Here is a 19915-nt window from a genome sequence, read left to right on the forward strand (position 1 = left end):
GTGCCACCATGCCTGGCTTTTTTTTTTTTTTTTGGTAGAGACAGGGTCTGGCTATGTTGCCCAGGCTGGTCTCAAACTCCTGGCTTGAAGTGATCCTCCTGCCTCATGCCTCAACCTCCCAAAGTGCTGGAATTATAGGCATGAACCACCACTCCTGGCCAGCTACCGCCTATGGATTAAAACTCAAATGTGTAATTCCAGCACTGGTTTATTTCTTGAGCTCCAAATTAGGATATCCACTTGCCGGCTGAATGTCTATTTTTTTTTTTTTTTTTAGACGGAGTTTTGCTCTTGTTGCCCAGGCTGGAGTGCAGTGGCGTGATCTCGGCTCACCACAACCTCCACCTCCTGGGTTCAAGCGATTCTCCTGCCTCAGTCTCCTGAGTAGCTGGGATTACAGGCATGTGCCACCACGCCCGGCTAATTTTTTGTGTCTTTAGTAGAGATGGGGTTTCACCATGTTGGCCAGGCTGGTCTTGAACTCCTGACCTCGTGATCTGCCTGCCTCGGCCTCCCAAAGTGCTGGGATTACAGGTGTGAGTCACCACTCCCGGCCCCACACATATATCTTACAATGTAGAATATTCTTGTCACAATACACTGTGGATGAACTCATTAAGGACGCTGTGAGATAATTGCTACCTGAATTAGAATGTGTAATTCACTGTGGAACATAGTAAAGGTAAGATTAGCTCTATCTGGGGGTGGGCACAGGTGTGGGTGTCCAAAGAAACTCTCAAAAAGGAACTGATATTTGTTGTTGTTGTTGTTGTTGTTGTTGTTGTTGTTGAGATGGAGTCTTGCTCTGTTGCCCCGGCTGGACTGCGGTGGCGCAATCTCTGCTCACTGCAACCTCTGCCTCCCAGGTTCAACAATTCTCCTGCCTCAGCCTCCTGAGTAGCTGGGATTATAGGCGTGCACCACCATGCCCAGCTAATTTTGTATTTTTGGTAGAGACGGGGTTTCACCTTGTTGGCCAGGCTGGTTTTGAACTCCTAACCTTAATTCAGATCATCTTCACAAACATTCAACATGGGCTGCTATGCCCCAGGCAGTATTGTTATATTGGAGATAGAGAGGTGAATAAGTCACTGACCTCAATGAGATTTTAGCTGGAGAAGCTACTTTTTCCTTGACTATCATTTATTCAAGAAAGTGGCTTGGGAGAATTAGCTCCCTAATCTCTATGAGCTCCTCTCAGCCAACCCAAATAAGTACAAAGCGTAAGTAAAAATGGTTTCTGGCAATCCAGCTTCCCTAGCCTTCCCTGACCCTTTTATTCAGATTGCCTGCTGCTGCTAAGCAGATTGCCTGCGGCTTTGTGTTCCATGTTGTCTACGTGAGGCACTGTGCTAAGCTTGTGGATGCACATATGACTGAGTCCTCAAAGAACCCAAGAGATAGGAGAACCAGGCACTCAATGAGTAGATGCAATAGGTTGTCCCAGACACTGTTACATGTTTGTTCAGGGTGTAGATGGGGCTGTAAAGAATGAAAGGTCACTTCCATCTGTGAAGGAGGGTGTTTGTAAAATGTTTAAAGCCCGAGGTAGCTGAGATGTGGGTCTCCAAGGGGACACTGGAAGGAGAAGACAAAAGATCAGTTCATTCCTCTTTTCTTTCCTTAGAACACTTACAGAACCTAAATCTCCTAAAATATTTTCTCTCCCTTTCTCAACTCTCTTTTGCCTGAAAATCATAGCTTTTCCTAAACTTGATGTTTCACTTTCTTGCTCTGTAGCTAGTGGAAAGGGTGAAAAAAAAAAAAACAGGACTGTGAACAAAACAGGCTATGCCTTATTTTGCTTCTACCAAATATAAGCATGATCTTGTTTCCTCTACACCCAGCAAAGGACAGTCAATGTCTTGTAGGTTTCTGTGTTTTTCCTTAATAAAACAACACTGTAGGAATGTTGTTTTATTTGATGCTCGACAAATACCAATTAAGAAACATGACAACAATAACAGCAATAACAAAAAGCAGTTGGTGTGAAGTTTAGGAAGAGAAGACAGCAAACCAACAACAACAGAATGCATTATGAAGTAATTTGTACCTACACTCTTGGCTGTGAAAAGTTGGAAATAATTTTTGCTAGAAACTAAGGGAAAAAATTAATGGTCTAAACAGCTGTGTAAAGGAAGGAAACTTCCTATGGAGAAACACAAGCCATTCTTGTTCTTCCTTTTTAAAAACAAAACAGGCCAGGCACAGTGGCTCACACCTGTAATCCCACACTCTGGAAGGTCAAGGGGTGGGGGGTGGATCACCTGAGGTAGGAGTTTGAGACCAGCCTGGCCAACATGGTGAAACCCTGTCTCTACTAAAAATACAAAAATTAGCCGGGCGTGGTGGCGGGCGCCTGTAGTCCCAGCTACTCAGGAGGCTGAGGCAGGAGAATCGCTTAGACCTGTGAGCAGGAGGTTGCAGTGAGCTGAGATGGCGCTACTGCACTCTAGCCTGGGTGACCGAGTGAGACTCTGTCTCTAAATAAATAAATGAATAAATACATACATACAAAACAAAACTTGGCTAAATGATTATTCAGTTACAAAAGTTAGAAACCTTGGTATTATCTCTGATTCTCCTTACTCCCTCCTCATTTAATTCCATTGCTTAGTGAGTTTTAAAATCTTATCTCCAAAATGTTTCTCAATAAATATACAGAATAGTATCTTTCCTATTCTTCATCCATGCTGTCATTGTCCAAACTGAAACTCTCTATTGCTTGATTAGCTTTTTAAAACTCTCTTTGTCTTCTTATCTCATCTTGCTCCTCTCCATTTTGTCCTCAGTTTTGCTGCCAGAATGGTCTTTCAAAAATCATGTCTTTAATATTTATTGATATTCTGAATGGCAGGATGAATCTGTCCCAGCTCCTGTCCTTGACGAGTTTTTGATGTTTTACGGTTAACATTGACTCTACCTTTCAGTTCTGAGTCTAGTCCTTTTTTTCTGCTATGCATCAGCTGCCACATCATTTCCACAAGATGCCAGTCACTGAGGAATGTAGGAACTATAGCCGATGTGTCTCCACCACGTGTAACTTTAGCTAATTATTTAAAGAATGTAGTTTGACACTTTGTGTAGAATGTAGAAAAAGTGCTGTGGAAATGGACATGGTTTTATGAGTCAAGAACTGCACTTGATCCTGGCTTTCCCTGATGACCTGTGTTTTGACATTTGAAGCTAAGTAGAGCCTGCTGATGCCTGGTGACCCTGATGAAAGTTAAAACTGATTTAGAAGTTGATGATGTTGCCTGTGTCATGTCCAAGACATTTATTTACTACACTTAATCTTAGCCAAATAACTGAGAAGTGATCAAGACATTTATACATAAACAATGAAGATATAGCTTGCTGCTGGGGTGAAATGGATCTGGCATGCAAAGACCTAGATTCTAATTCTGGTTCTGCTGTTTACTAGTTGTGTGACTTTTGGCAAGCCACTAAATAACTCTGTGTTCTAGTGTCCTCATATTTAAAACGGGTGTGATAGTACAAATCTTGAAGGATTGTTGAGGGGAATAAAGGAAACAACGTAACTCATGGAGTTTAGCACAATCCTTGAAACCTTTTGGTCAGTTTCAATGGAACAGATAATTCAGATCAAACAATAATTATTAAGCACCTTCTGTGTGCCAAGAACTGGGCTAGTTTCTAGGACTACAAAGATAAGGCCTGGTTCCTGCTGTTAAGAAGCTAATGGAGGGATACTAATGAACACTATGTAAATTTTTTAACTCAATCTGAGTCATGATGTTTCAAGATCCCCACAGTTTGCTTATCCCAAAAGACATCCGCAACATGAGCTATTCTGCTGATTAGTCTGGAACATCAAGTTTCTATAGGAAGTGTATAGTGTGTTTTGAGGAGGCCATGTAGCATGATGAAAAGACAGGTATGTGTTTATATGGACTCAGATACTCGTTAATTCACTAATTAATACTCTCAGGTACCTGGGTAAGTTTGTTCATTTCTTTGAATCTCAGTTTCCTTATTTGTAAAATGTGGAGATTAAAATACTCACAGAGTTATTGTGATGGTTAAAAGTGATAAGATATATAACATTCCTGGCACAGTCCCTGGCATAGGGTAGATAATAAATGGTGGAATTAATAAGAAAAAAAATATCCAAAAAGAAACAGAAATGGCTTTGTACCACACTCAGTTGCATGCATGTTTCATGTCCTGGTTAGCTCCTGAATAGGAACCATGTCTCTTAAACCAAGCCTTGCCTTTTCTTTCTTTTCTTTTTTTTTTTTTTGAGACAGGGTCTTGATCTGTTGCCTTGCCTAGGCTGGAGTGCAGTGGCACGATCTCTGCTTACTGTATCCTTGACCTCCTGGGCTCAAGCAATCCCCCTGCCTCAGCCCCCTAAGTAGCTAGTACTACAGGCATGAGCCACCACAACCTCACTAATTTTTAAATTTTTTGTAGAGACAGGCTCTCACTTTGTTGTCCAGGCTGTTCTTTGTTGCTCAGGAGTTTCACTTTGTTGCCCAGGCTGGTCTGTAACTCCTGGGCTCGAGCTGTCCTCCCACCTTGGATTCCCAAAGTGCTGGGATTACAGGCATGAGCCACTGAGCCTGGCCTGGCTTTCTTGAAGATGCCAAACGTCTACCTTATTCCCAGAAACCTTTATTAAATTGTAATCTATAGAAAAGAGGCGATCCCAAGGAAAAGAAAGGAAAAGAGAAACAGGATGCTCATTTTTTTGGCTGCTATCCCTTTCAGATATATTCTTATTTACTTCTTTTTCAAATTTCTTGTAGAGATATATTCTTATTTACTTCTTTTTCAAATTTCTTTTACAGACAGTGTCTCAGTCTGGCATCCAACTCAGGCTGGAGTGCAGTGACATGATCTTGGCTCACTGCAGTCTTGACCTCCTGGGCTCAAGCAATCCTCCTGCCTCAGCTTCCTGAGTAGGTAGGACTACAGATGTGTGCCACCATAACCAACAAATTTTTTTTAATTTTAAATTTTATTTTTTTTGTAGAGATGGGGTCCCACTATGTTGCCCAGGCTGGTCCCAAACTCCTGGCCTGAAGCGATTCTCCCACCTCAACTTCCCAAAACATTGGGATTACAGGTGTCAGCCACCAAGCCCGGCCCACACCACATTTCTTTGGGAAAATTCTAAGAACTAATATTTATTTATTTATTTATTTATTTCTCCTGTTGCCTGTATAATTGCAGAATAAGAGCTAATATTAATTGAGTGCTTACTATCTACCAGGCTCTGTTCTAAGCTCTTTACCCATAGGAGCTCACTTAATCCTTGAAACAACCTTTGTAGACAGCTACTATTGTTACTCACATTTTAAAGAAGGGGACACCGAGGCACAGAGAAGTTAGCAAACTTGCCTAAGGCCATATAGCTACTAAGTGATGAATCTGGATATTAAAACCCTGGTACTATGGCACCAGGATCCACATTCTTAAGTACTAAGCTTTGAGCCTCTCCTCAACTAGAAGTAGAAACTCCGCCCAGCGCAATGGCTCACACCTGTAATCCCAACACTTTGGGAGGCCGAAGTGGGTGGATCACCTGAGGTCAGGAGTTTGAGACCAGCCTGGCCAACATGGTGAAACCTCGTCTCTACTAAAAATACAAAAGTTAGCCAGGCGAGCGCCTGTAATCCCAGCTACTTGGGAGGCTGCGGCAAGAGAATCTCTTGAACTTGGGAGGTGGAGGTTGCAGTGAGCCGAGATCGTGCCACTGCTCTCCAGCCTGGGCGATAAGAGTGAAACTCCATCTCAAAAAAACAAAACAAAACAAAACAAAACAAACAAAAAAAACAGAAACTCATTCATTTCTATACCATCTAACTACTGATCCACTGGCATCTGAACCCATACTCTCTGCTCTTCTTTCTTGTTACTTTGGATAAAGTATCTCTGCTAGTATCAAAAGTCAACCTTTGCACTTGGGCTTGGGGTCTCAGTCTTTTCCTTTCTTTCTTTTTTTGTATTTTATTCCAGTGTTTTGCCAACACAAAAAGAGGTCTCAATCTTATGAAGGGCTTCACTGCTGCTATTCTCTCTTTTCTCTAGGATGTCCCCAGTTTTTCCCTCTCTTGAAAATCAGCAAAGTAATATTCTCTAGTGTCTTCGATCTAAATAATAATTTTAAAAAAGGACAAAGAAAGCCCTTCCCTTGACCACACCTCCGTTTCCAGCTAGTGCCTCATCTTTTAGTTTCCTTTTTAGCTCTTTCTCTTGATATTTGCACGGCTGGCCTTTTCTTATCCTCCATATCTAAGTTTAAAGCCACTTCCTAAGAGGCCTGCCCTATAACCACCCCCTATAAATTAGCTACCCACTGACTTCCTATTAAAATAATTTATTAAATTATTTGCAGTGTTAATCAGTATTGGATATTTTTCTTGTTTACTTGTTTAGTGTTTGCTTTCACCACAGAATTTAAGCTCTGAGAGAGCTTATTCACTGCTGTATTCCCAGGACCTCCAACAGTGCCTAGATATAGTAGGTGGTCAATAAATCCTTTGGTTTTTTTTTTTTTTTTTTTTTTTTTGTGTGAGAGAGAATTTGGCTCTGTCACCCAGGCTGGAGTGCAGTGATGCAATCTCGGCTCCGAGGTTCAAGTGATTCTTGTGCCTCAGCTAGGACTACAGGGTGCGCCACCACGCCCAGATAATTTTTGTATGTTTAGTAGAGATGGGCTTTTACCATGTTGGCCAGGCTGGTCTCGAACGCCTGATCTCAAGTGATCTGCCTGCCTCGGCCACCCAAAGTGCTGGGATAACAGGTGCGAGCCACCGCGCCCAGCCAATAAATGCTTAAATTGCCCCTGTAGGCTGTTAGTGATCTATCCCTACTTCTTTGACCTTATCTCCCACCACTTTCTCCCTGGCTCACTGCTCCACGCACACTGACCTCCTTGTTGATCCCTCAAGATGCCACGCTCACTCCTAACATTTGGTCTTTGCATTTGCTATTCCTTCGTCTTGGAAGGCTCTTCCACCAGGCTCCCTCCTTCGCTTTCTTCAGGTCTTTGCTTAAAAGTTACCTTTTCACTCAGGCCTTCCCTGTTTGGGAATTTAAAATAGCAGTCCCAGCGCTCTCTCCTTCCTTGCTTATGTTTTTCTCCATAGCATTTATGATTTTTTAATGTACGATATAATTTACTATTTATTTTACCATTCCCCTCACCTGTCATGAAGGCTCTGTTGTATCCCCAATGTCTAGAAGAATGCCTAGCACAAAACAGCGAATATTTATTAAATGAATGGATTTGTGGAATGAATGCATAAATGAATATCAGATATGAAATCTTTTGGAAGTGGAAGGTATCATGGCCAGTAAAATTATTTATTAATATGTTCATAATCTTTTTTCTTTACTCTAATCCCATGACAGATTATAAATAATCTTAATAGCAGTATTCACGTTTGCATTCTCGCATCCGTGGCATGGAGTCCTACACACAATAGGCGCCCTAAGAAAGCGTGTTTGACTTGATCGCTGGAGCATCTGCCGGCACCGCCCAGGACCCGCCCAGGACCCGCCCCGCCCCCTGCGGCCCCGCCCCCCGCATGCTGAATGCCATATAGGCGAGTGACGTCAGGCCGTTTGTTGTCATTGGCGGCTCCCAAGATGGCGTCCATCATGGAAGGGCCGCTGAGCAAATGGACTAACGTGATGAAGGGCTGGCAGTACCGTTGGTTCGTGCTGGACTACAATGCAGGACTGCTCTCCTACTACACGGTGAGTCCTTGGAGGGCACAGCTCCAGGCGCCTCGGGGCCGCGTTTCCTGGGTGGAGGTGGGGGACCGGGGTTTTAGGTGGCTGAGTTGAGGTTGCTAGTCTGGGGGTGCCGCCGTACGCGAGGGTTCCCTTGTTGGGGAGGGTTTTACGTCTCGGATAGCCAATGAGGGTGAGGGAGAGAGGGGCGCAGCCAATAAATAGAAACTAGCTGTCTGATTTATGGGTTGGGGGTGAGCCAAGTTTCTTTCTTAGGGTCCGCTATTAAGCGGTAGTGGGGTCCAGCATGGTTGTGAGCGGGTAAGGGTGATCGTAGTCATGGCTTAAAAGGTCCAGTCTTGCGGTTCATGCTGTCTTCATATGTTGTCATGGACTTTACACTGTCCCACCAAGGCCCTGTAGCCGGCCGCACCCCTTAGCTTCCCTCCAGGGATTGAAGAGCTCTGCTTCCTCGGAGGAGTGGCCAGAGGAGCCGGGACAGGTCCAAAAGTGACCAGCCCTCGGGCAACACCAGGGGGTCCGAAATCCCTCCAGTCGGTTCAGGTTGTGTGTCTCATTCAAGGGACGCACCCCTCTATTTAGCGGGAGGCGAGCTCAAACGACGCCTTAACTTTTGAGAGCCAAGGATTTCCTACACGCGAGACTCTTGTCAGCGAAGAGAGACAAGTGATAGTGCAGTGTCCCCTTACAGTTACATTCTGGGTTCAGGGCTTCACTGTTGTTAACATGAGTTGGTGGCCGTGGAAAAGTAGATGAATTGCTGTGAATCTTACGTGGTTGTGTGTGTGTGTGTGTGTGTGTGTGTGGTTTTTTTTTTGAGACGGAGTCTCGCCCTGTTGCCCAGGCTGGCGTGCAATGGCATCATCTCGGCTCACTGCAACTTCTGCCTCTCGGGTTCAAGCGATTCTCCTGCCTCTGGCCTCCCTAGTAGCTGGGATCACAGGCATGCGCCACCACACCCTGCTAATTCTTGTATTTTTAGTAGAGACGGGGTTTCACCATGTTGGCCAGGCTGGTCTTGAACTCCTGACCTCAGGTGATCCACCCGCCTCGGCCTCCCAAAGTACTGGGATTACAGACGTGAGCCACCGCGTCCGGCCTTGAATCTTATGTTTTGACTATCCCCTCCACCCTCATCGCATTCGATATGGAGAGTAGGTGGTATTAGGGAGATAACTTACTTAGAAAGGTACTTTCTCTGAATGGTGTATAGTTGACGATAGCCGATATGAGGGAAGAAAATACATAAGAGGACAAAATAGAATGCCCAGAAAGCTTTAGAAAATAATAGAAGACAGAAAGAAAAACATGATTATGGAAGAAGGATTAAGGTTGATGAGAGAAAGGGGACACTGAATTTATTTGTTCATTTAAAAAATATTATTGAGCTGCTATGTGCGTTTTCATGCCAGCAAGAATAGACAGTAAAAAAGACATTCACTGTTCCTCTTCTCTGGAGCTTATATACTAGCTTGGTGAGTCCTTTAATTCATTTCACTCCTAATAACTCTGCAAGGTGGTTATTCATTATCTCCATTTAATATCCCCAGTTACAGTTTTGAAATCTGAGGCTCCAGGCTTTTAAAGCAATTTGCTCAACATCACATAGCACTAAGTGATGGAATCAGGATGCCAAATTATTGACTTTTTCTACTAAACTTCGCTTTCACTACAGGAAGGAGAAAAGTGTAAGTTGTGAGTTACTAAAGGCAAGCTTGCAAGAGTAAAAGTATTACTTTCATCATCCTTCAACTATCAGCTTTCTTTCTCTACATAGTTTTTAAAGGGAAAAAGACTAAACCTTAATGAGTCTTAAACACATTGTTCAAGATTGTCTTTAGGTGGGCATGAAAGAGAGGCAACTGAATATTATGTCCTGAAAACTCTGGAATTATGAAACCCATGGCTTAGATAAAGGAAAAGTAATATTGGGTTTAAGTAGATGTGATAATCAGAAAATCCCGTAAACTCTATTCAAGATAGAGTGATTTCAGTGAGTGACACTATGCAGTTAAGTTACTTTACAAATCCCAAATTTGTGTGGATCTGAATCTAGGACCATACTGGAGAGGCCCCCAGCTGAGGTTCTTGGGAATGCCTAGCCCAGAAAGAATCTTCCTTTTTCCTCTTTTTCTTCTTTTCATGTATCCTTTTTCTGCTTTGTTGCCCTTTCAGTTTTTGAATACTTGGACAAATATCTCTTTTCTTGCTGGCTAAATATAGGGTTTAAAAAAATACTTTTTTCCCCCTCAATGCTTATCCTTCTTTTTGAGACTAGATTCCCTAAAATATTATCCTTGCCAGAGGAAGGAAGTATCATATTTCTCACTAACAGCTGTTTAGAAGATTTTTTTTCTTTTCTAGTTCCTTGATATTGAAGTATTTGCTTACAGAGAAACAACAGACAATTGTTGTACCATCTTGTGAAAATAAAATGATACCCAATCTCAAATTAGAGGAGGTCTAGTGAAGAGGGGAAAAGGATAGATATTTACTTAAAAGGGAAGGTAGGAGACACATTGGATATTGGCAATGAATTCTACACACATGACATTATTTCAGTCCATTCGGATTCTGAAGGATTTGAAGGTACATATTAATGATTTGCATGTGGCTAATAACTTGGAGCTACATCTTCCAGGAAGAATATCTGAATTAGTTGTGTAGCCTTCCAAGCAAGGCAGTGAATAGCATAACTTTATTTCTTGTTTCCAAAATCACTTGGCCTGTAGTCTGTCTCTGTGGTTGTTAATATATTCTAGGGTGGTTCTGAAAACCCTGAACTAAACTAGAGTGACCTTGCTTTAGAGTTGGCTTTACTGAGAATTGTTCTTGAGGTAATCTCAGGATTGGGTTAGGATCATTGCGATAGTTGTGAACTGAATAGATTTACACAAGCCTCACCTTAGTTGAATTTTTATTAGATGAAATGGCCAGGGAGAACTAAGGATATAAATTTAGGAACACTATGTGAGCAACCAATTGTTTATGTGGCTTATGATCACAAAAGAAGATATGGAAGGAAGGAAATTGGGGGAGTTATAGATCTATGAGGAATTGGAAGTTTAGAAAGAGGAGTTTGTGCCTTTTGTTAATTTATGAAAGGTTACTGAGTACCTATTGTGTGCCTGGCACTTTGTTAGGAAGTGGGGTTAAAGTGGCAAATAAGATGGAAATTGTTCATCCTCTCATGGTACCTATAATATGTTGGGGGACATACCAGATAAGAGCTGTGATAGAGGAAGCACAGGGGGATACATAGGTGGGCTACTTGACTCAGTCTTGAAGGGTTAGGAAAGGTTTCCTTGGAGAAGCAGGTTTGTTTTGACTTGAATGATGAGGAGAGATTAGCCGTATGAGCAGAGAGGGAAAAGTGCTTGAGACAAAGGGAATAAAAGTTTTTTGGAGGAGAGAAGAGTAAGCAGCTTGTCAGTTCTGGAGGTTGGGCTGTGAGGTAGGTAGTAGTGAGAGATGAACTGGGGAGCTAAGCAGGAGGACAGATAATGAAAGGCTTTCTTGGCAAACCATGTTAAGGAATTTGAACTTTATCCCCAGGGCAGTGGAGAGCTATTTCAGTGTTGTAAGCACTTTTTATTATTATTGAAAAATCTTTTATTATAGAAATTTAAAAAAATAAATCTATTTTATTTATTCATTTATTTTGATAAGACTGGTTAATTTTGTATTTTTGGTAGAGACGGGGTTTCACCATGTTGCTGAGGCTGGCCTCGAACTTCAGGGCTCAAGCATTCACTTGCCTCGGCCTCCCAGAATGTTAGGATTACAGGCGTGAGCCCCTGTGCCCAGCCTATTATAGAAAATTTTTAACATTCATAAAACTAAAGAGGACGGTAAAATGAATTCATTTCATCCAGCTTATACAAGTATCAACATATGGCCAGTCTTGTTTTATTAGTACTCCCATTAACTCCTTCCTCCTCTATTGAATTATTTTTAGAGCAGATCCCAGATTATTATTTCTTGTGAATATTTCAGTATGTGGCCAGGCATGGTGGCTCACGCCTGTAATCCCAGCACCTTGGGAGGCCGAGGCGGGGAGATCACCTGAGGTCAGGAATTCAAGACTAGCCTGGCCAACACTATCTCTGCTAAAAATACAAAAATTTGCCCTGCTGTGGCCAGCGCCAGTAATCCCAGCTACTTGGGAGGCCAAGAATTCAGCCTCTCCCTTCAAGGAGAATCACTTGAACCAGGAAGTGGAGTTTGCAGTGAGCCGAGATGGTCCCACTGCACTCCAGCCTGGGCGACAAAGCAAGACTCCGTCTCAAAAAAAAAAAAAAAAGAAAGTTAAGGTCCCTCTATTTTCAAAAGAATGTTATCAAAACACTTTTATTACAGCTAAATAGTAGTATTTATTAATATCAAATATCCAGTCTGTTCAATTTCCTAGAATGTCGCAAACATTTCTTCCTTACCAGTTGGTTTGAGTCAGAATTCCAAACAAGATCTGCATATAAAATTATAGAGTCTCTTTTAATCTCTAGTTCTCCCTCTCTTTTTCTTGGCCATTTATTTGTCTAAGACACCAGGTCATTTACTCTGTAGAATTTTCTGCATTTTGGATTTTGTTGGAAGCATCATTTTGGTATGTTTAAACAGGTTCCTTTGTCCTCTGTATTTCCTATATAAATTGATAATTTGAGCTGAAAGCTTAATCAAATTTATTTTTTTTCTTTTGGGCAAGAATATAGGTGGAACCTATCAAATCAAGAGGCATATGATGTTAGCTTGTCTCTCTATGATGTTAAAATTGATCAGTAGGTTCAGGTGAAATGTGTGTTTTTTTTTTTATTTTAAAGAATATGGTTGCGGAGAAGTAATCAGGAGGTTGCTTTTGATGGGATTTAGTGATTGGATGTGAGTGAAAGGGGAAGAGTCTGAAGACATCCAGGTTTTCAGCTTGAGCTGGTTGAATGATAAAAAGGAAGATAGGAAGAACAGGTTGGGGGAGAGAAGTGGTTGCTTTGGGGCATGTTGAAATTGACATAAAGATGTGTTACAGTCTGGAGCTTGGGACAAAAATCTGGGCTGCATATCCTCTTATCAGTCAGTAAAACATAAAATAAATCTGGGCTGCAGATAAATATTAGTTTTTCATATATGGAGAGTTGAGAGAGTGAGTAGAATAGAGATCTTTGGATAGGACTCTGGAAAATACCACTGGATTTAGTTATCTATTGCGTTATGACAGATTACTCCAAAATGTAGCAATTTAAAACAACAGTTTGTTACCTCATAGTTTTCGTGGGTCAGAACTTTGAGTTCTGGCTCAGGGTCTCTTATGAAGTTGTAGTCAATATATTAGCCAGTGCTGCAGTCATCTGAAAGGCTTGACTGGAGCAGGAAGATCAGCTTCCACGATGACTCACATGGCTGTTGTCAGAAAGTGGCAGTTCCTTGCTGGCTGTTGGAAGGTGGCCTCATTCCTCACCAGGTAGCCTCTCCATTGAGCTGCTTAAGTGTCATCATGACAGAGCAGCTGGCTGTGATCCAAGTGAGAGCAAAGAGGAAGCCTCAATCCCTTTTATGACCTAGTCAGAGACCACCACTTCTGCCTTATTCTGTTCATTAGAGACAAGCCATTAAATTCCACTCATGCTCCTGGGGATGGGAATTTCAGACATGAGGAGGGAAATTAGGCTTTATCTTTTGAAAAGAATTTGTGGACAAATTTTAAACCACCACAATCACAATTTAAGGGATTGGCAGAGGAAAAAAGCTTGCACAGGAGAGTGAAAAGGGATGCCAGAGATGTAAGAGAAAAACTAGAAGAATGTGGCAGTCATGGATGGCAAGGTGGAAGTAGTAAATTGGCTTGAATACTGCTGAAAGGATTAAATAGATGAGATCTAAAGCATATCCATTGGATTGATGAACATCATTGATGTTCTTAGGCAGAGCAGTTTCCATGGAGTGGTAGGTATGGAATGCAGGTTGGAGTGGCTTGAAGAGTAAAGAGGAGGCAGGAAATATATGAAGCGAATGGAGGTTATTCAAGATGTTTCATTGTAGAAAGGGCAAAGAGGACATGGAATGTGGAATGGAGGGGAACAGTTTCTAAAATAGGAATATGCTTAAATGGTGTAGGGATGGGAAGCAAGGTCAATGTTAAAAATGAGGATACAGTCAGGACGCAAGGAGTATAGTAAAGATTTAGGACAATGACAGTGGGAACTGGAAAAAGGAATAGCTAAGGAATAGCTAAATATGATTTGTTTAGTCATTACCCACAAATGTTTAACCCTCTTTCTTGATTTGTATTGCTTTTGGAGAGAGGGTTAGAAACTGAATTAGTAAGTTACCTGGGCTACTCAAGATATTCCTTGTAAAAGGAGTCGTTAGAGAAATCATATGTTCTTTGCTGTTACACACTGTCTGGAAGAGACTTGTAATGACTTTGCATTTTAAAACCACTGCTAGTCAAAACACATTTAAGTGTTATTTGGCAGTCTTTAGCAATGTTTAGTAGATGATAAAAAAATCTACCATCTAATTATTAGATTTTAGATTTTTGAATAGCTTAAATGTATATATTTCTCTTGCAAACATGTAAAAGTAGTCTCAGATTCTCCTGGAAAGGTATCAGCACCACTCCCATCAAACATTTAAAAGCAAATTTATTCTTTTCTAAGTAAACCATTCTTGAATATATCAAATATGATTTTTATTGAGCTTATATATGGTACTTTTTTTTTTTTGTCGGAGTCTCGCTCTGTCACCCAGGTTGGAGTGCAGTGGCACGATCTCCACTCACTACCACCTCCACCTCCTGGGTAGAAGCAATTCTCCTGTCTCAGCCACCCGAGTAGCTGGGATTAAGGCACCCACCACCAGGCCTGGCTAATTTTTGTATTTTTAGTAGAGACGAGGTTTCACCATGTTGACCAGGCTGATCTTGAACTCCTGACCTCAGATCATCCACCTGCCTCAGCCTCCCAAAGTGCTGAGATTACAGGTGTGAGCCACCTTGCCTGGCTATATGGTACATTTTAGTAGTCCAAATCTAATAGAGTAGCTTTAGAATTATAAAAGGAACAAAAGAAAAATTGTATCTAAATCTAAATGGGCTGGGTGCAGTGGCTCATGCCTGTAATCCCCCAGCACTTTGGGAGTCGAGGCAGGTGGGTCACTTGAGGTCAGGAGTTCAAGACAAGCCTGACCAACATGGTAAAACCCCGTCTGTACTAAAAATACAAAAATTAGCCGGGCATGGTGGTACACCTCTGTAATCCCAGCTACTTGGGAGGCTGAGGCAGGAGAATCGCTTGAACCCGGAAGGCAAAACCCGTGAGCTGAGATCACGCCACTGCACTCTAGCCTGGGTGACAGAGTGAGACTCTGTCTCAAAAAATAAATAAATAAATAAATAAAAATAAAAATAAATCCAAACACCCTGAAAAGACATAAAGAAACTCTCTAAGATAGTGAGTAGTATCAGTGGGAAGAATTATTTGGAAATTTTTTATCTTTTACTTTCCTTGAATACTTTAGACAGTCTTGATTTTTCCCTTTTCTAAAACTCCTGAGCCTAGCTCATATACTTCTTTTGGGCATTAATCATCTTACATCTGCTACAATTAACTAAATGTATCTCTAGTACATTCTTTATCTGTACAGCAAGCTTGTAAACTCCATGATGGCAGTACTGAACATCATAATAATCTTCAAGCCTGACAATGAGGCATATTATTCTCCTTGTGAATAGAATATGAATGGCCCTTCTAATTCGAATTATAGGTGAGTGAGGCAGAAGGCTGTTTGGAATTCTTGTTTACACAGCCTTGTAAGTTTTACAGAATATACTAATAGCAAATATGTATGTTTCCACAGTTTATGTAAAACCTGATTGGGTTTATATTAACAACAGAGGTTTTTTGTTTAGTCATCCAGAGCCTGTGGAACTGTGTGCCATCTTTGCTTCCTGTGTTGTAGCAGACAAGCAGTCAATTCTTGCTTCTGTTGCAAGCAGTTTTCTTGATGGTGATAATTTGTAGAAAGATGTAGAGTTGTTCTTAAATATGCCACTCCAAAAGTGGCAATTGTATGATTAGATTTTCTTTTTTTAAAATGTAATTTAATTTATTTTAAACTAATCTAGACCATGCCAGTTGGAAGGATTAGATTTTCAAATAGGTAATCCCGATCAAAACTAGAACAGTGTACAAGTGATTTAGATTAAGGATTGAATTTCTTTTACTGTTTATAGAGAAATACAGACAAAGAAATGGCCACCCCAATCAATTGTTTCCTTCTCATTTATTTAATTGTAAAGGATTATCTTCTTCTTCTTTTTTTTTTTTTAATGGGGTACTGCTCTGTCATCCAGGCTGGAGTGCAGTGGCATGATTTTGGCTCACCGCAACGTCCAGCACCAAGACTCAAAATCCTCCCACCTCACCTCAGCCTCCTGAGTAGCTGGGACCATAGGCATGCGCCACCACACTGGCTAACTTTTTGTATTTTTGGTAGAGATGGGGTTTCACCATGTTGGCCAGGCTGGTCTCAAACTCCTGAGCTTAAGCAATCCACCCTCCTCGGCCTCCCAAAGTGCTGTGATTATAATTGTGAGCCACTGCATTCAGCCCAGGATTATTTTAAAAATGGAATTTACTTGCAGAAGTTAAGTTTACATGTTACATGGGATGATATAAATGGAATTATATTCAAGGAAAGTATTTCCAGGTATTCATAATTAATTTTTTTCTATTCACATGACAATGTTAAAATTATTGTAAAAGTTGATTGTCTATTTCTTGGAGTTTTGTTCCATTGAGGCCCCATGATAAGATTGTCTACTTATTTCTTGTATTTTATCTTAGTATTGTTATGGCACAGCTGGGTGAAAATACACTGGATAAAAATGTGATCTGTCGTTCTGGCAGCTATCTTTTGTCTCTCAATCCTCTTCTTTCCTCCATCACTCATAGGAGATGCCATGCTTACCAGAGACAATAGTCCATTTGGTGGGAACACTCTCAACTCCTTGTTCTCCCACCTATTTTGATATATCTATTTTCCTCTTTATACTTGCTTTTACCTTTCCCTATCATAGAAGAGGTAATCCTGTGTTCTGGATTCCATTTGCTCACAAACTTTTCGGGGATCTCAGTCTATAGATTTTCTCCTCTATCTGCTTTCTCTCCTCTCTCTATTTAACTTCTTCCTCACTACAGATTTTTCTTATTTAAGAATATTATTATTATTATTATGCAGTATAACAAACAGTTGTAATCATTTTATACAGACATTTTTAGATAGCCTGTTGCTTTTTATTCTTTTTTTTCCCCCTTACAACCAGATCTCACTCTGTCACCCAGGCTGGAGTACAGTGTGCTATCACAGCTCACTGCAGCCTCGACCTCCCAGGCTTAAGCAATCCTCCTGCCTCAGTCTTCTGAGTAGTTGGGATTGCAGGCATGTGCCACCACACGAGCTAATTTTTGTTTTGCTTTTTTTTTTTGGTAGAGTTAGGGTCCCACTGTGTTGCCCAGGCTAGTCTTGAACTCCTGGACTCAAGTGATACTCCCGCTTTGGCCTTCCAAAGTGCTGGGATTACAAGTGTGAGCCATGACACCTGGCCATCTTTAATTTTGATGATGTCCAGTTTATTTGTTCTTCTGCTGCTGCTTATGCTTTTGGTGTCGTATCTGAGAAATCATTGCTTAATCTAAAGTCACAAAGTTTCATATCTATGTTTACTTCTAAGAGTTGTTTATTTTAGCTATAATGGGTAGGTCTGATCCATTTTTGTTGTTGGTCATGGTTTTTTTGTTTGTTTATTTTGAGACAAGGTCTTTCTCTGTTGTCCATCCTGGAGTGCAGTGGCACAATCATAGCTTATAGCAGCCTCAAACTCCCAGGCCAAGTGATCCTACCACCTCAGCCTCCTGAGTAGCTGGGACTACAGGCTTGTGCCACCATGTGGGCTACTTTTTTTATTTGTAGAGGATGGGGTCTTGCCATGTTGCTCACACTGTTCTCCAGCTCCTGGGCTGAAATGATCCTTCTGTCTCAGCCTCCCAAAGTACTGGGATTATATGTGTGAGCCACTGCACCTGGCTAGTTTTTTTTTTTAATATGGAATGAGGTAAGGGTCCACCTTTATTCTTTTGCATGTGGATATCCAGTTGTCCGAGCATCATCTGTTGGAAAGACTTCTTTCTCCATTGAATTGTTTTGGCATTCTTGTTGGCAGTTAACTAACCATAAATGTGAAGATTTGTATTTAGACTGTCAGTTCTATTCCATTGACTTATTTGTCTGTACTTACGCCTGTACTATACTGTCTCAATTACTGTAGCTTTGTAGTAAGTTCTGAAATTGGGAAATGTAAATCTTCTAACTTTCTTTGTTCTTTTTCAAGATAGTTTTGGCTATTCTGGATCCTTTGAATTTACATATGAATTTTAGGATGGACTGACTTTTTCATTAATGTATTAACATGTTCATCTCTCCTACTTTGAAAAATGTCTCTCCTAATTCTGTTTTTTTTTTGAAAATATCATCCTAACCTGTCTTCCTCAATATACATTTGTGTATTGAAATGCCTGTCTCTGTTAGTCCATCTTGCATTTACTCGACAGCACTCTTTTTTACCTCCACATTTCACTGAAAATTCCAGCAGAGGTCCCCAGTGATAGCTTTGTTGCTAAACCCAATGGGTGCTTTTTTCGCTCTTAATCTTAGCACTGTCTCCATAGCATTTGATGACACTGGTTACTCTTTTACAGCTTTAAAAATTGTTTTACTGTTCTTGAAGAGATGACATTGTACTCTTAATTATTTTTCTACCACTGTACTAATGAAGGCCTACTCTCAATTTTTTTTTTTTTTTGGAAAGGACTATTGCAGTATTACTCTAAATTTTTAAAAGAAGAGTCAAACTATAGTGAAAGGTCTATACAGTAGAAGGAAGAAAAGTCACACCTGAAATCCTACTTATCTGTGTTTTGGAGAATAGCTTTCCTAACAACTCTTTATGCACAAATACACATCTGTGTACTTTATATAAATGGAATCATTTTATACATGATATTCTACAACCTAAAAGCATTTTAAGATTTTTCTGTGTAAGTTATTGTACCATTTTGTATTGTATTTCTTCAAGAGGCAAATGAACAAAAGATAACATTTTTTCTTCATCTTTATTTAATAAGATCTCAGTCATCTGGCTTTGGGAAGTTAAAATTCCTACGCTGGCCTGGTGCAGTGGCTCGTGCCTGTAATTTCAATACGTTGGGAGGCTGAGGTGGGAGAATTGCTTGAACCCGGGAGGTGAAGGTTGCAGGGAGCTGAGATTGCGCCACTGCACCCCAGCCTGGGCGACAGAGCAAGACTCCATCTCAAAAAAATAAAAAAGAAAAGAGAAAAAGAAAAATATCTAAATTTTTTATTATGACTTTACTATGACTTTGTGATCTGCTTCAATTTATCTTTCTTTTTTTCTTTTTTTTTTTTTTTTTGAGATGGAGCCTTGCTCTGTTGCCCAGGCTGGAGTGCAGTGGCGTGATCTCGGCCCACTGCAGCCTCTGCCTGCTGGGTTCCAGCAATTCTCCTGCCTCAGGCTCCTGGGTAGCTGGGATTACAGGTGCGTGCCACCATGTCCAGCTAATTTTTGTATTTTTAGTACAGACGTGGTTTCACCATGTTGGCCAGGCTGGTCTCCTGACCTCAAGTGATCCACCCTCCTCGGCCTCCCAAAGTGCTGGGATTACAGGCCTGAGCTACCATGCCCGGCCTTAGCTTAACACTCTCTATTCACTTGAGCTTTTCTTCTGTTCCTTTGAAGTTCTTCAAACTTGTTCTTGCCTCAGGGCCTCTGAATGTTTTCTGTCTTGGACAGGTCTAGCATGGTTGATTACTTCTTATACAGGTTTTCATTCATATGTCACTGCTCAGAGAAGCCTTTCTATAACAAACCATCTAAAGTAGGCCTCTCACCCTCAGTTGCTATCATAATCATCTCGTTTGATTTTTCATGGCATATATTGTTATTGCTTTATTTTGTTTCTCTTGCTTATTGTCTGTTTCTGTCTTGTATGAATAGAATGTAAGTTCCATTAGAACAGAGACTTTATTTATCTTCATCATTTTATCTCCAGCATCTAGAGCAGTGCCTGGCACTTAGTGGCTTTTCAGTAAATATAGTCATGGGTCGCTTAACAAT

General features: G+C 41.0%; 1 protein-coding gene and 1 long non-coding RNA gene across 12 annotated transcripts in view, besides 4 other annotated features; one reads left to right on the forward strand and one right to left on the reverse strand.

Annotated features, from left to right (window-relative positions):
- OSBPL9 (oxysterol binding protein like 9) overlaps positions 1–19915 on the forward strand; it is a 270948-nt gene that overhangs the window by 91219 nt on the left and 159814 nt on the right. For 7 of the 11 annotated variants that reach the window (NR_036662.2, NM_148909.4, NM_001350208.2 and 4 more), the window contains exon 1: positions 7602–7731. Coding sequence is in view for 8 of the 11 variants with exons in the window: in NM_148909.4 (NP_683707.3) it covers positions 7621–7731 (111 nt within the window). In the remaining 3 variants the exon portion in view is untranslated. Of the gene's footprint in view, positions 1–4814; positions 4930–7383; positions 7732–19915 lie in introns of those variants that run through there. The other 4 variants (NM_001416293.1, NM_001416292.1, NM_001416295.1 and 1 more) reach the window with 2 other exon arrangements.
- Positions 1493–13054, reverse strand: LOC105378719 (uncharacterized). Its single transcript, XR_947339.4, has 3 exons — positions 12982–13054; positions 7177–7220; positions 1493–1578 (listed from the first exon to the last, which is right to left on the reverse strand). It is a non-coding gene; the product is annotated as an uncharacterized LOC105378719 (long non-coding RNA).
- Positions 7299–8207: an enhancer, noted in NCBI's record as "H3K27ac-H3K4me1 hESC enhancer chr1:52082461-52083369 (GRCh37/hg19 assembly coordinates)". NCBI's record gives its function as "activates a minimal SCP1, AML or CMV promoter by ChIP-STARR-seq in primed H9 embryonic stem cells {active_cell/tissue: H9 hESC(primed)}" and the evidence as "EXISTENCE:reporter gene assay evidence [ECO:0000049][PMID:30033119]".
- Positions 8208–9115: an enhancer, noted in NCBI's record as "H3K27ac-H3K4me1 hESC enhancer chr1:52083370-52084277 (GRCh37/hg19 assembly coordinates)". NCBI's record gives its function as "activates a minimal SCP1, AML or CMV promoter by ChIP-STARR-seq in primed H9 embryonic stem cells {active_cell/tissue: H9 hESC(primed)}" and the evidence as "EXISTENCE:reporter gene assay evidence [ECO:0000049][PMID:30033119]".
- Positions 12661–13860: an enhancer, noted in NCBI's record as "MED14-independent group 3 enhancer chr1:52087823-52089022 (GRCh37/hg19 assembly coordinates)". NCBI's record gives its function as "activates an origin of replication core promoter dependent on BRD2, BRD4, P300/CBP and CDK7 cofactors, and independent of MED14, by STARR-seq in HCT116 cells {active_cell/tissue: HCT116}" and the evidence as "EXISTENCE:reporter gene assay evidence [ECO:0000049][PMID:35650434]".
- Positions 13004–13143: an enhancer, noted in NCBI's record as "active region_1027". NCBI's record gives its function as "activates an Ori minimal core promoter by ATAC-STARR-seq in GM12878 lymphoblastoid cells {active_cell/tissue: GM12878}" and the evidence as "EXISTENCE:reporter gene assay evidence [ECO:0000049][PMID:35858748]".

Source organism: Homo sapiens, chromosome 1 (genome assembly GCF_000001405.40).
Source record: "Homo sapiens chromosome 1, GRCh38.p14 Primary Assembly".
Classification (NCBI taxonomy): domain Eukaryota; kingdom Metazoa; phylum Chordata; class Mammalia; order Primates; family Hominidae; genus Homo; species Homo sapiens.